The 15,617-nt window shown below is 39.0% G+C and overlaps 1 long non-coding RNA gene across 1 annotated transcript in view; it reads left to right on the forward strand.

The window, feature by feature from the left end:
• Nucleotides 1-5,156: 5,156 nt before the first annotated feature.
• The window catches only part of LOC124903179 (uncharacterized), a 41,261-nt gene continuing 30,800 nt past the window's right edge, over nt 5,157-15,617 (forward strand). The window contains exon 1 of the long non-coding RNA XR_007063815.1: nt 5,157-5,244. This is a non-coding gene — a long non-coding RNA (uncharacterized LOC124903179). The remainder of the gene's footprint in view (nt 5,245-15,617) is intronic.

A 15,617-nucleotide genomic window follows, 5' to 3' on the forward strand; every position in this document is an offset into this window, starting at 1 on the left:
AATGAGTCTCGGGAGATCTGATGGTCTTGTAAGAGTCTGGCATTTCCCCTGCTTGCAATTCTCCTTCCTGCCACCTTGTGAAGAAGGTGCCTTCCTTCCTCTTTGCCTTCTGTCATGATTGTAAATTTCCTGAGGCCTTCCCACCCATGGCGAGACAGACATGAACTGTGAGTCAATTAAACCTTTTTCTTTTATAAGTTACCCTGTCTTGGGTATCTCTTTATTAGCAGGATGAGAATGGACTCATACAAGATCCAACTATGAGTGCTCCAAAAGATAGAAAGTGGCAAAAGGTCACTTCTGTCATATTCTATCAGAGTATTCACAGAGCCTGCCCAGATTCAGGAAACAGAGACGTTGACCCAACATTTCAGTTTATGGAACATCACACATTTTCTGGTTACCTTTAATTCACCACATAACTAGAAATGGACTGGTGCATATGGTCATTAAAAATCTTAATATGTTAGAGCTGGAAGGATCCTGAGTGCACATTGAATTCTCTTCAATTAAAAAAAAGTGGTGCCAGTAAGCCCCAGTGACAATAAAGGTATTACTCAAGATAAAAGAGTTAATCAGATTCAGAGCAGACACTAGACACTGACCTTCTGACAGAGTCCAGTATCCTTTGAACACTAAAAAACATGTGGATAGTAATTACTATTTTCTGTGAAATCTTTTCTGGTATAATTATTATTATCCATAGTGCCATAAAACACAGTTTAGCACATAGCAGGTACTGAGTGGACTGCATAAAAAAATTTTTAAAAAAGTCTGTGCATATGAGTTTATAGTCTGGAAGGAGAAAAATTTCAGTGAGCAAGAAATGGGCTTTCATGTCAGACCACCTGGTTGTGACTTCAGGTTCCAGTGTAACCTTGGCTGATTATTTAACTTCCCAGTTCCTCGGTTTCCTCAAAATAAACTACTTTATAAACTTTCTGATTCCTCAGTTTTCTCAAAATAAACTACCTTATAAGTTTATTGTAAGGATAAAATGAGATGCTCTACAAAAGGCCAAGCCCATAGTAAGCGGTCAGGAACTCTTAGCTATTGCTTTCACAGTTTGGGTTTGTTTGATAATACAGTCCTTTTTTTTTTTTTTTTTTTTTTTTTTTGAGATGGAGTCTCGCTCTGTCACTCTGTCACCCAGTCACCCAGGCTGGAGTGCAGTGGTGCGATCTCAGCTCACTGCAAGCTCTGCCTCCTGGGTCCACACCATTCTCCTGCCTTTCCTGCCTCAGCCTCCCAAGTAGCTGGGACTACCAGTGCTCGCCACCATGCCCAGCTAATTTTTTGTTTGTTTGTTTTGTATTTTTAGTAGAGATGGGGTTTCACTGTATTAGCCAGGATGGTCTCAATCTCCTGACCTCGTGATCCGCCCACCTTGGCCTCCCAAAGTGCTGGGATTACAGGCATGAGCCACCACACGCAGTCGATAGATAATACAGTCCTTTTCTGAAGACATTTATTATCTCATTGTTATCTGGATATGGTCATCAACTGAAAGTGAGTTGTAGGGGAATGTAGGAATATCGAACAAAAGGAAGAAGGTATAAAACTGTTTTCTCAGAGAGTGGAAAAATGTATAAAATTTTAGAGCAATTGAGTGACCCTTTGAAGTAATGAGTTTTAAGTGAAACTAAGCAGTCTGCTGTAGTTTTCCTCCAGAAATATTCAGTTGTTTAGATTTAGGTGCTGAGAAGGCAAAATATGTGTCAAGCAGAATTAGGATCTTGCAGAGCATGTAGGATAGAGAGAGAGGACTAAGAGAGTTAAAAGAGTTTGCAAGAAAGTGAAAATAAGGATGAATGTTGAAAGCTAAGCAGAACTGGGAGAGAAATTTGTATAATTTTTCTAACACAATAGAGTCATTTCTTTAAAAATCATTTCTTTTGCAAAGGTGTAATAATTTTGAATAATTCCAAGTCCAGTTTTGTTAAAGAGAAATTAAAAAGCATGGAGATAAAAGTCATTGAAATTGAGGTCAAACAATGCTGCAGTTGAATCACATGTTCACTTATAAGTAAAGACAGAGGTTGGGTTTTAAGGCCTTAGGAGAATAAGAAACAGTCAAAGAGAAGGAAGAAAATAGCAGTAATGATAAGGAGAAAAGCTGATCAAATAGCCTGACGTCTTACATCTCAAAAGATGAGGGACCTTTTTGTGAGAGTGAAAGAACAGTTTTCTAAAAATTGTGCCTTGCAGCAAAAAGTGGTTAAGCTAATTTTCAAGATTCTAAAGTATACCAAATGGAGGAGAATTAGCAACAATATCTTGAATAGGCTGTACGGAAGCTATATCTTTGTTTGCAGAATTGAAGAGTGTCTTTTAAGTCACAGGTGCTAGAAAAAAGATCATTCTGTCATCATCATCATTCTTTTATTATTAAATTACCATTATTAGTCTCACCAGGGCCCGCTGGAAAAGACTGAAAGTAAGGGAACAGTGACAGGTGGTTCAGAAGATAGGAAGGGCAAAACAGTGGAAGGATGATAGTTGACAGAAGGTAAGTCGTTTTCTGAAAGTATTTACCTACTGTGTGATCACTAGGAGTAACAGTACTGAAAACCGTGATGATCTCAGGGTGTCCAATTAATTAGTCCTATTTGGTAACGGCTTGCATTAATTGTATTCCAAAGCACCATTTCTCACAATTTAACATGCATGTGTGTCACCTGATGACCTTTTTCTGATTCTGATTTGGTATATCTAAGTGTAGCCAAATTTGCTGCTTTTCTAACAGGCTCCCAGGTGCTGCTCTCTTTTCATGCGTATTAACCCAGTCAACGCGGGTTCTGTTGCCAACTTTACAGGCAGCAGAAACCAGTGAGAAAACCAAATGAAGGGAACCCCTCACTCTTCAGCTCCTAGTGCACAGTGCAAGCAACCAGAAGAATGAGATTTAAGTACTTTTGAAAAGTTTATTCACAGTTTAATGACTTAATATTTGTTATATCGATTTTCTATTAAGAAACTCATACTCTGAAGACCTTCTAGGAAGTATGTGATCAAGAATTTCATTAAATTATACTTATCAAATATCTCAACTCTTTCAAGAAGTGCTAAATTTTGGAGCAGGAAGAGAAAAAGTGATGTGTAGAAGGTGGAAGAATACCAAGAAAAGCATCATTCCATAAATAATTAATTGGTAATTCAACAAAGTTATATTCCATAACATATACAGGTTTTAATTTGTCAATTAAAAAGAAAAAAAATTGACTGACATAAGGATTACACACAGACAGAAACTTTTTTTAAGTTGTGGTGATGTGACTGAACTTGAGAGACAGTACTAATCCCTACTCATCATTAAGAAAAATATATCTGAGCATTTTTTTATATTTCTGTACACGTTTTAAAATCAACTAATGAAAGACATTACATTTAGAAATCTGACTCAAGAATTTTCTTAGGTTATTGGGAAAAATGTCTGTGAAAGCTGGAGAAAATGTTTACACCAAAAAATAAATTCCTAGTGAACATTACTAACAGTAGATCAGTCAAAAAGATCTACATTTTTCTAATTCAAAGGGTCAGAGGCAGCAGAGAAGAATTGGTAAGGTTTCATGGAGTGGCAGATACAAATATAATATATATCGTTACTTGAAATGGCTTTAAAAATATCCAAGAGAAGACAGAAGAAGAAATATGATTCATTTAGTTGCCTGATGATACTTAGTATTTTCTCATGTAATCATTTATGTGGAGTGCCTTCTCTCTATTTCCCCACCTTGAGCTATTATAAAATGCCTCACTGTTGCCCCCAAAATAGATATATTTAATTTTTTATTATACAGTGTGCCCTTTAGGGCTTATAATTTTTCTAGGATATTGTGGGAACTCAACTTCATGGGGTGAATGAATGGTTTGATGTGGAGACTCAAAGCCGTAGTAGCATCAGACCCATGCTTCTGATCACAGAAGAATAAAAGGCAAGATTCTATAAACCCAATGCCTAAGAAGTCAGAGGTCCTGTGTGTGTGGCAGCATCTCTCACTGACAGCATGAATGGCTAGGACTATGATTAAGTCTCTGACTCCAACAGGGTCCCAGACTCCCAGATCTCTAAATTAGGTGTCAGTAACATTTTTCTTGTAAGGAGCTATCAATAGAACCTCACTCAGGGATGGGATACAGGCATCTAAATCTGTAAACCTCAGACACGTTGACCTAACTGTTCTCAGGGCTGTATTCTTGGGTCTAGGTATAAAACTGTGATAGGAACTGTCACTGGCAACAAGGACCTTAAAATCATTGTGCTCATAATCTTAGTAATGACTAAGAAAAGGCTAAATTATAATTCTGCCACTTTCCTCATTGTGTTAAGTTTCTGTTGTTCTTTAGCATATTATATAAATGTAGTATCTTAAAAACAGCACACGTTTTTGATTTGACAGTTCTGTAGAAGTCCGACATGGATCTTCCTGGGCTAAAGTCAGAGTGTTATCAGAAATGTGTTCTTTTTTGTAGGTTCTAGGGGAGAATATGTTTCCTTGCTTTTCCAGTGTCTAGAGGCCATGCATGCATATTTCTTGGCTTATGGGCACCTTTCTAGATCCTCAAAGCCAACAACATTGCTGCTTTCTGATCACTTTTCTATAATACCATCTCCCTCTTACTTAGACTATAGCTGGGAAAATGTCTCTTCTTTTTAAGGGCCCATGTGATTAGATTTGAACCACTTGAATGTGATTAAATGGGGAAATCTAATAGTCATTTTCACATCTCGAGGTCCTTAGCTTAATCACACCTATGAAACATTCCTAAATCCCAGGGATTAGGAAGAGAATATCTTTGTGGAGCCATTATTTTGCCTACCACACCCATTTTACGCTTTTCATCTCCTTTTTGAAACTCGGTAAGAATCACTTAGAGATTTCCCTGAAATCTCTTCTTAATCAGCTCAGAGGCCCTCATCTCTAATGAATAGTTGCAAGCTTAGGCCAAACTGCCAGTTCAATTATTATGGCAGGGCTTCATTATAGCCGTGTTATAAACATCTCAGGCAGTATTTATCTATTCATCTATAAAAGCATATAGTAAAGAGCAGGCTCATTTTATCATTAGTGTGCATCTTAGCTTGACCACACCCCCTGACACATTTTTAGAGTGAAAAGGACACTGTCAACAAGACATAAAAAAGGATTCAGATTAAAAGGCTAGAACAATTTAGGACAATCGCAGTAAATGAGGTCCATCCTAGGCAATCTGAGGCAGATGGTTTTCTTACTTACAAACCAGGTAAGGGGTTTTACATTTGTTCTATTGTGATGTGATCTGATAACTGCTTTAAAAAGTTTATTATTCTGGCTGTAATGTGGAGATGTACTGTGAAGGGAAAGAGAAGAAGCAGGGAAATCAGTGAATAGGTCATTGCACTCGGGTATAGCATTGGAGATACTAAGAAATGATTGACTGTAAATTACAATTTAAATATAGTTGTGACTGGACATGAAGGTGCATGTGAGGAAAAGCACAGAATTAAGCATGACTCCTAGGATTTTAATCTAAACAAGTGGGTAGACAGCATTGTCGTAATCTGAAATACAGAGCACTGAGGATAAAAGTGTTGGTGTGCTGCAGGGCAGGTAAGAACTTTATCATGAGACTTATGTTTAAGAATTATTATTGTAGAAGGAATAGTTAATATCTTGTTATTGACCTTATATGAGCATAGTATAGAGGATGAGCAAGTTTGGAAATCGTATAAATTTCAGGGGTCAAAAGAGGTGGAAGAACCAGCAAAGGAGATGGGTAAATGGCCAGTGAGAAAGACAATTAAGAGTAGCAAGTGTTCAAGCAGGAGGAAGGCAGCCACTTGGCTAGTGTGCTAAGACTTGACAGGCACATTGAGACCTGGCCACTGGGCTTGCCAATTTCAGGAACTCAGTGTATGATAATTAATACTTTTTCAGTGGAATCATGCGGACCAAAACCCAGGTGGACTCTGAAGAAAAGAGAATTGAAGATGAGTAGGTGGCAATGGTGATAGTGGTTAATATAAAACCAAACAAAAACACAGAGTTTCAAAAGTCAGCAAAAAAAAATGATGTTTATAAGACCCCTATTCTATATTTCTTTTTCAATCTTTTTCTTAGATTTCTACCAGTCATATGACACTAGGGTCATATAACTACCTTACAGTGTGACCTTAGGCAAGTACTTTAACTTCTTTTTCCTTAAACTTTTCATCTTTAAAATGGGGATAAGAAGAGTTGCTAGTCTCAGGTTGTTAAGAAGATTAAACTGGATAATGCATATAAAATGCTTGAAATAGCACCTCTATAATATTGGGGCTTTATTATTTTAAAATTATTATCATTGTTGTTACTATTACCACTCAGAGTACCACAAACATTTGTTTATCCTTTATCCAGGCTAACAGAGACCCCATGATAGGAACATGGCAACAAATCTCCCCTTCTCTTCCGTGGAAGGAAAAAATGCTGTTCTAAAACAGGAAAAACACACCCCGATAACACTACTGGAATTTTACACTCTGGTACATAAAATTTCATGCATACCTATAATTTTTTAAAACAGAAACTAAATGCTTAAATATTTATTTAAATTCACTTTTAAAGCCATGCATGAGCAAGCTTGTTGATGAGTTTCTACTATATAATTTAATAACAATAATAGTTACCATCTGTTGAGAGCCCACTCTATGTAAAGAGCTGTGTTAGGCAGTTTACACACATTATCTTGTTTAATAGCCATGATACTTTTTCTTTCTCTTTTTTTTTGGGGGAGGGCAGTGTTAAACATTTTATTTTATTTTATTTATTATTATTATACTTTAAGTTTTAGGGTACATGTGCACAATGTGCAGGTTAGTTACATATGTATACATGTGCCATGCTGGTGCGCTGCACCCACTAACTTGTCATCTAGCATTAGGTATGTCTCCCAATGCTATCCCTCCCCCCTCTCCCCACCCCACAGCAGTCCCCAGAGTGTGATGTTCCCCTTCCTGTGTCCATGTGTTCTCATTGCTCAGTTCCCACCTATGAGTGAGAATATGTGGTGTTTGGTTTTTTGTTCTTGCGATAGTTTACTGAGAATGATGATTTCCAATTTCATCCATGTCCCTACAAAGGACATGAACTCATCATTTTTTATGGCTGCATAGTATTCCATGGTGTATATGTGCCACATTTTCTTAATCCAGTCTATCATTGTTGGACATTGAGTTGGTTCCAAGTCTTTGCTATTGTGAATAGTGCCGCAATAAACATATGTGTGCATGTGTCTTTATAGAAGCATGATTTATAGTCCTTTGGGTATATATCCAGTAATGGGATGGCTGGGTCAAATGGCATTTCTAGTTCTAGATCCCTGAGGAATCGCCACACTGACTTCCACAATGCTTGAACTAGTTTACAGGCCCACCAACAGTGTAAAAGTGTTCCCATTTCTCCACATCCTTTCCAGCACCTGTTGTTTCCTGACTTTTTAATGATTGCCATTCTAACTGGTGTGAGATGGTATCTCATTGTGGTTTTCATTTGCATTTCTCTGATGGCCAGTGATGGTGAGCATTTTTTCATGTGTTTTTTGGCTGCATAAATGTCTTCTTTTGAGAAGTGTCTGTTCCTGTCCTTCGCCCACTTTTTGATGGGGTTGTTTGTTTTTTTCTTGTAAATTTGTTTGAGTTCATTGTAGATTCTGGATATTAGCCCTTTGTCAGATGACTAGGTTGCAAAAATTTTCTCCCATTTTGTAGGTTGCCTGTTCACTCTGATGGTAGTTTCTTTTGTTGTGCAGAAGCTCTTTAGTTTAATTAGATCCCATTTGTCAATTTTGAATTTTGTTGCCATTGCTTTTGGTGTTTTAGACATGAAGTCCTTGCCCATGCCTATGTCCTGAATGGTAATGCCTAGGTTTTCTTCTAGGGTTTTTATGGTTTTAGGTCTAACATTTAAGTCTTTAATCCATCTTGAATTGATTTTTGTATAAGGTGTAAGGAAGGGATCCAGTTTCAGCTTTCTACATGTGGCTAGCCAGTTTTCCCAGCACCATTTATTAAATAGGGAATCCTTTCCCCATTGCTTGTTTTTCTCAGGTTTGTCAAAGATCAGATAGTTGTGGATATGCGGTGTTATTTCTGAGGGCTCTGTTCTGTTCCATTGATCTACATCTCTGTTTTGGTACCAGTACCATGCTGTTTTGGTTACTGTAGCCTTGTAGTATAGTTTGAAGTCAGGTAGTGTGATGCCTCCAGCTTTGTTCTTTTGGCTTAGGATTGACTTGGCAATGCGGGCTCTTTTTTGGTTCCATATAAACTTTAAAGTAGTTTTTTCCAATTCTGTGAAGAAAGTCATTGGTAGCTTGATGGGGATGGCATTGAATCTGTAAATTACCTTGGGCAGTATGGCCATTTTCACGATATTGATTCTTCCTACCTATGAGCATGGAATGTTCTTCCATTTGTTTGTATCCTCTTTTATTTCCTTGAGCAGTGGTTTGTAGTTCTCCTTGAAGAGGTCCTCACATCCCTTGTAAGTTGGATTCCTAGGTATTTTATTCTCTTTGAAGCAATTGTGAATGGGAGTTCACTCATGATTTGGCTCTCTGTTTGTCTGTTGTTGGTGTGTAAGAATGCTTGTGATTTTTGTACATGGATTTTGTATCCTGAGACTTTGCTGAAGTTGCTTATCAGCTTAAGGAGATTTTGGGCTGAGACAGTGGGGTTTTCTAGATATACAATCATGTCGTCTACAAACAGGGACAATTTGACTTCCTCTTTTCCTAATTGAATACCCTTTATTTCCTTCTCCTGCCTAATTGCCCTGGCCAGAACTTCCAACACTATGTTGATTAGGAGTGGTGAGAAAGGGCATCACTGTCTTGTGCCAGTTTTCAAAGGGAACGCTTCCAGTTTTTGCCCATTCAGTATGATATTGTCTGTGGGTTTGTCATAGATAGCTCTTATTATTTTGAGATATGTCCCATCAATACCTAATTTATTGAGAGTTTTTAGCATGAAGGGTTGTTGAATTTTGTCAAAGGTCTTTTCTGCATCTATTGAGATAATCATGTGGTTTTTGCCTTTGGTTCTGTTTATATGCTGGATTACATTTATTGATTTGTGTATATTGAACCAGCCTTGCATCCCAGGGATGAAGCCCACTTGATCATGGTGGATAAGCTTTTTGATGTGCTGCTGGATTCAGTTTGCCAGTATTTTATTGAGGATTTTTGCATCAATGTTCATCAAGGATATTGGTCTAAAATTCTCTTTTTTGGTTGTGTCTCTGCCAGGCTTTGGTATCAGGATGATGCTGGCCTCATAAAATGAGTTAGGGAGGATTCCCTTTTTTTCTATTGATTAGAATAGTTTCAGAAGGAATGGTCCCAGTTCCTCCTTGTACCTCTGGTAGAATTCGGCTGTGAATCCATCTGGTCCTGGGTGCTTTTTGGTTGGTAAGCTATTGATTATTGCCACAATTTTGGCTCCTATTATTGGTCTATTCAGAGATACAACTTCTTCCTGCTTTAGTCTTGGCAGAGTGCATGTGTCGAGGAATTTATCCATTTCTTCTAGATTTTCTAGTTTATTTGCATAGAGGTGTTTGTAGTATTCTCTGATGGTAGTTTGTATTTCTGTGGGATCGGTGGTGATATCCCCTTTATCATTTTTTATTGTGTCTATTTGATTCTTCTCTCTTTTTTTCTTTATTAGTCTTGCTAGCAGCCTATCAATTTTGGTGATCCTTTCAAAAAACCAGCTCCTGGATTCATTAATTTTTTGAAGGGTTTTTTGTGTCTCTATTTCCTTCAGTTCTGCTCTGATTTTAGTTATTTCTTGCCTTCTGCTAGCTTTTGAATGTGTTTGCTCTTGCTTTTCTAGTTCTTTTAATTGTGATGTTAGGGTGTCAATTTTGCATCTTTCCTGCTTTCTCTTGTGGGCATTTAGTGCTATAAATTTCCCTCTACACACTGCTTTGAATGCGTCCCAGAGATTCTGGTATGTTGTGTCTTTGTTCTCGTTGGTTTCAGAGAACATCTTTATTTCTGCCTTCATTTCATTATGTACCCAGTAGTCATTCAGGAGCAGGTTTATCAGTTTCCATGTAGTGAGTGATTTTGAGTGAGATTCTTAATCCTGAGTTCTAGTTTGATTGCACTGTGGTCTGAGAGACAGTTTGTTATAATTTCTGTTCTTCTATATTTGCTGAGGAGTGCTTTACTTCCAACTATGTGGTCTATTTTGGAATAGGTGTGGTGTGGTGCTGAAAAAATGTATATTCTGTTGATTTGGGGTGGAGAGTTCTGTAGATGTCTATTAGGTCCGCTTCGTGCAGAGCTGAGTTCAATTCCTGGGTATCCTTGTTGACTTTCTGTCTCGTTGATCTGTCTAATGTTGATAGTGGGGTGTTAAAGTCTCTTATTATTAATGTGTGGGAGTCTAAGTCTCTTTGTAGGTCACTCAGGACTTGCTTTATGAATCTGGGTGCTCCTGTATTGGGTGCATATATATTTAGGATAGTTAGCTCTTCTTGTTGAATTGATCCCTTTACCATTATGTAATGGCCTTCTTTGTCTCTTTTGATCTTTGTTGGTTTAAAGTCTACTTTATCAGAGACTAGGATTGCAACCCCTGCCTTTTTTTGTTTTCCATTTGCTTGGTAGATCTTCCTCCATCCTTTTATTTTGAGCCTATGTGTGTCTCTGCATGTGAGATGGGTTTCCCGAATACAGCACACTGATGGGTCTTGACTCCTTATCCAATTTGCTAGTCTGTGTCTTTTAATTGGAGCATTTAGTCCATTTACATTTAAAGTTAATATTGTTATGTGTAAATTTCATCCTGTCATTATGAAGTTAGCTGGTTATTTTGCTCGTTAGTTGATGCAGTTTCTTCCTAGTCTCGATGGTCTTTACATTTTGGCATGATTTTGCAGTGGCTGGTACTGGTTGTTCCTTTCCATGTTTAGCGCTTCCTTCAGGAGCTCTTTTAGGGCAGACCTGGTGGTGACAAAATCTCTCAGCATTTGCTTGTCTGTAAAGTATTTTATTTCTCCTTCACTTATGAAGCTTAGTTTGGCTGGATATGAAATTCTGGGTTGAAAATTCTTTTCTTTAAGAATGTTGAATATTGGCCCCCACTCTCTTCTGTCTTGTACAGTTTCTGCCAAGAGATCCGCTGTTAGTCTGATGGGCTTCCCTTTGAGGGTAACCCAACCTTTCTCTCTGGCTGCCTTTAACATTTTTTCCTTCATTTCAACTTTGGTGAATCTGACAATTATGTGTCTTGGAGTTGCTCTTCTCAAGGAGTATCTTTGTGGCATTCTCTGTATTTCCTGAATCTGAATGTTGGCCTGCCTTGCTAGATTGGGGAAGTTCTCCTGGATAATATCCCGGAGAGTGTTTTCCAACTTGGTTCCATTCTCCCCGTCACTTTCAGGTAAACCAATCAGACGTAGATTTGGTCTTTTCCCATAGTCCCATATTTCTTGGAGGTTTTGTTCGTTTCTTTTCATTCTTTTTTCTCTAAACTTCCCTTCTCACTTCATTTCATTCATTTCATCTTCCATCACTGATACCCTTTCTTCCAGTTGATCGCATCAGCTCCTGAGGCTTCTGCATTCTTCACATAGTTCTTGAGCCTTGGTTTTCAGCTCCATCAGCTCCTTTAAGCACTTCTCTGTATTGGTTATTCTAGTTATACATTCTTCTACATTTTTTTCAAAGTTTTCAACTTCTTTGCCTTTGGTTTGAATTTCCTCCTGTAGCTCGGAGTAATTTGATCGTCTGAAGCCTTCTTCTCTCAGCCTGTCAAAGTCATTCTCCATCCAGCTTTGTTCCGTTGCTTGTGAGGAACTGCGTTCCTTTGGAGGAGGAGAGGCGCTCTGCTTTTTAGAGTTTCCAGTTTTTCTGCTCTGTTTTTTCCCCATCTTTGTGGTTTTATCTACTTTTGGTCTTTGATGATGGTTATGTACAGATGGGTTTTTGGTGTGGATGTCCTTTCTGTTTGTTAGTTTTCCTTCTAACAGACAGGACCCTCAGCTGCAGGTCTGTTGGAGTACCTGGCCCTGTGAGGTGTCAGTCTGCCCCTGCTGGGGGGGTGCCTCCCAGTTAGGCTGCTCGGGGGTCAGGGGTCAGGGACCCACTTGAGGCAGTCTGGCCGTTCTCAGATCTCCAGCTGCGTGCTGGGAGAACCACTGCTTTCTTCAAAGCTGTCAGACACGGACATTTAAGTCTGCAGAGGTTACTGCTGTCTTTTTGTTTGTCTGTGCCCTGCCCCCAGAGGTGGAGGCTACAGAGGCAGGCAGGCCTCCTTGAGCTGTGGTGGGCTCCACCCAGTTCCAGCTTCCCAGCTGCTTTGTTTACCTAAGCAAGCCTGGGCAATGGTGGGCGCCCCTCCCCCAGCCTCGCTGCTGCCTTGCAGTTTGATCTCAGACTGCTGTGCTAGCAATCAATGAGACTCCATGGGCTTAGGACCCTCCGAGCCAGGTGCGGGATATAATCTCCTGGTGCACCATTTTTTAAGCCCATTGGAAAAGCGCAGTCTTCAGGTGAGAGTGACCCGATTTTCCAGGTGCCGTCTGTCACCCCTTTCTTTGACTAGGAAAGGGAACTCCCTGACCCCTTGCACTTCCCGAGTGAGGCAATGCCTCGCCCTGCTTCGGCTGGCGCACGGTGCGCACACCCGCTGACCTGCATCCACTGTCTGGCACTCCCTAGTGAGATGAACCCAGTACCTCAGATGGAAATGCAGAAATCACCCGTCTTCTGCGTCGCTCAGGCTGGGAGCTGTAGACCGGAGCTGTTCCTATTCAGCCATCTTGGCTCCTCCCCTCGATACTTTTTCTATGTAAGTATGAATAACTCCATTTTTATAAATGAGGAGCCTGAAGTTTAGGGTAACTCATTAATTTTCCCAAGGCCACAGAGATGGTGCAGAGCAAAATAAGGATTAATGGACTCTACAGTCTTCCTCTTTCCATGGCACAAAAATGGCTCAGCTGTGTAATACATCTCTAAAACATCCATCGAGCTCTCACTCTATACAATGCTCCAATATATCAGGTGTGTGGGTACATGGATCATAATCCACATTATACAAATTGGTAAACAGAAGCTCTGATAGATGACAGTAATTTGTCCAAGGGGACATTATTTAAAGATGAAACGGGAGAGTTCCCTGACCCCCCTCACAGGATGTGCTACATGGGTGTGGCTCATGTGTTCTGCCACTTTGCAAGCTCAAACCCCTTATGGGAGGGGGAACACAGACAGGCAGGTGCAGGAGCCCAGGCAAGTGCCCCTGGGCTCTGACCCCATGACAGTGTCCAGGGATGGGTGTCTGCAACTCCTGAAGCCCAAATAGGCATGTGTTAACGTATGCTCTTTTAGCCTTGCTGTTCACAGACCACTTAAGTGTTAAACAGCTCAGTGGACCCTCTGCCTTTTTGCAAGGACAGATGGCCAGAGTGACAACTTTCTTTATCCTGAGCTCTTGTCCGGTGTCCGGGAAAAATCAGGTCACACATGGACTTAAAGGACGAATGCAGGGGTTTTGTGGTGTGGTGGAGGTGGCGTTCAGCAGGATGGATGGGGAACTGGAAAACGATGGAGTGGGAAGATGATCTTACCCTAGAGTTTGACTGTCCGGCTGCGGATCTCCTCTCTGCCCCCAGCCGAACGCCTCTCAGCGTTCAGACGTTCCTTCCCTTTTCTCTACCATGCCTTTCTGCTGTTCTTCTGCTCTTCTGTTCATCTTCTCATCTAGCCAGGGGCTTGGGATTTATACGGGTACAGGATAAGGGGGCGCATAGCAGGCCAAAAGGCAACTTTAGGGCGTGAAAGCAGGAGTACCTGTTCTCATTTAGGGCTGGGTGGGGCTTTTACTGGGGAATCGCCCTCTTCTGCCCAGTATTTCTCTGTCTCCTGTCCGTTTGAAAACAGATTCAAACTCACGCTTTTAGGCTGTGGGTCAGGTCTTCCTGCTTCACTAGGAAGCCTCCCAGTAGAGGATTGGGTTGTAGTAATGCTGGGAATGAAGGACTGAATAGAGGATCAAGTAAATGGTTTTTGTTTTAAATTTCAGCATAATTACTGTTACATAAAGTATGACATTACAGTCTCAAAATTTGAAAGTTTAAAAATTTACATTGCAAACTTCAATTTTGGGGCTTAATTATATATTATGTTAGTTCAGAATAGCTTAAACTTCCAATTCAACTATTTTCATTTTGACTTCTACTATTTAAAATATGATCCTGTATTACAATTATACCTTCTTGGCAAAAATAACAAATCAATGTTAAGTTATCTTCTTCCTTGACAACTCCATAAGTCATATTATATTACCTCTCCTACTTGGAATGTCAGACAATCAGTCACTGGACCATTCCAGAGATTCATTTCTATAAACAATATATTTGGATTGATATAAGTCTTTCAAGGGTCAGGTTTTCCCTATAATATTTTTTCTCTGTTATCCCAGAGTTTTCACGAATCTCATATATTTTTGCTTAATTATACCCTCTCTTACCACTTACTCCTAGGATCCAGTCTTGGATTTTGTTTTACATTCAAGACACCTTAAACTAAAAATACTACAGAAAAAAAAAAAAAAACAAAGATTGGATTCTAGATATTCACAGCACATTGTTGGCTTTCCTGAACTCTTGAAAAAAAAAATGGACATTTCTTAGAAAGTCTTTAAACATAAATTTGTGAAGATTTTCTAATGACATAACTGACTTGTTCTTTCCAAAGCAAATGTTTTGTAATACTTTCTATATGATTTTACAGTGATGTCACTTCTGCCAACAAGTCTGTCTCTTTCCAGCATTATTCTAGAGAATATGCAGTAACTTCCTTTTCCCTTGAGATACCCTTGGCAGACATTGGAAATCGAAGGCAATTTTTAATTTCAGAACCAATAATAAAAATCATTAATAGCATTGAACAGATATTAAATGTCAGACACTTTTGTAAGTTCTCTTTTTACCTGGATCATCTTATTCAATTATTGGAGGAGTACTGTTCAGTAGGTGATATATTATCTCCATTTTACAGATGGAGAAGCTCAGACACCCAGAGTTTAAGCAACTTTTCAAAAGCTCTTAAGCAGGTAAATTACAAAGTAGGACATTCAAGCCAATCCAATAACCAACAGATTAACTAGTACTTTATGTTTCCTCAAATGAGCAGTGGTCACATCATACAATATCTTGGGATTTTAAAGTTTCTGATGAAAACTATGAAGGTGAGTATTTGGGTAAAGTTTTGTTATTACTTCACAGAGGTGTTTTGAGGCCCAAATAAAATTTATTTGAAATTATATTTTAAACATGGTGCACGTTTTGTCACTATCGGAATTTTAAATAATAGATTATTTCATCAAAGCTATCCCTTAGTTTTTGAAATGTCATTATCAAGTTCAGTGTTTTCATTCTACTCATTTTAATCTAAGTTGATTTTTGAAAGTTTTGAATAACAAATTGCTTGAAGGTATGCACTGTACTTTCAAAATAGAATTAGATATTTCCTTTTTATTTCCCTGTGAATATCTCCCTATTTCTAAAAATGCTGAGTATTGAAATAAAGGGTTATTAAAATACATAGCAAAAATCAAAGCAATGTAAAAAAAATTAAAA

This window comes from Homo sapiens, chromosome 13 (assembly GCF_000001405.40).
Source record: "Homo sapiens chromosome 13, GRCh38.p14 Primary Assembly".
Taxonomy (NCBI): domain Eukaryota; kingdom Metazoa; phylum Chordata; class Mammalia; order Primates; family Hominidae; genus Homo; species Homo sapiens.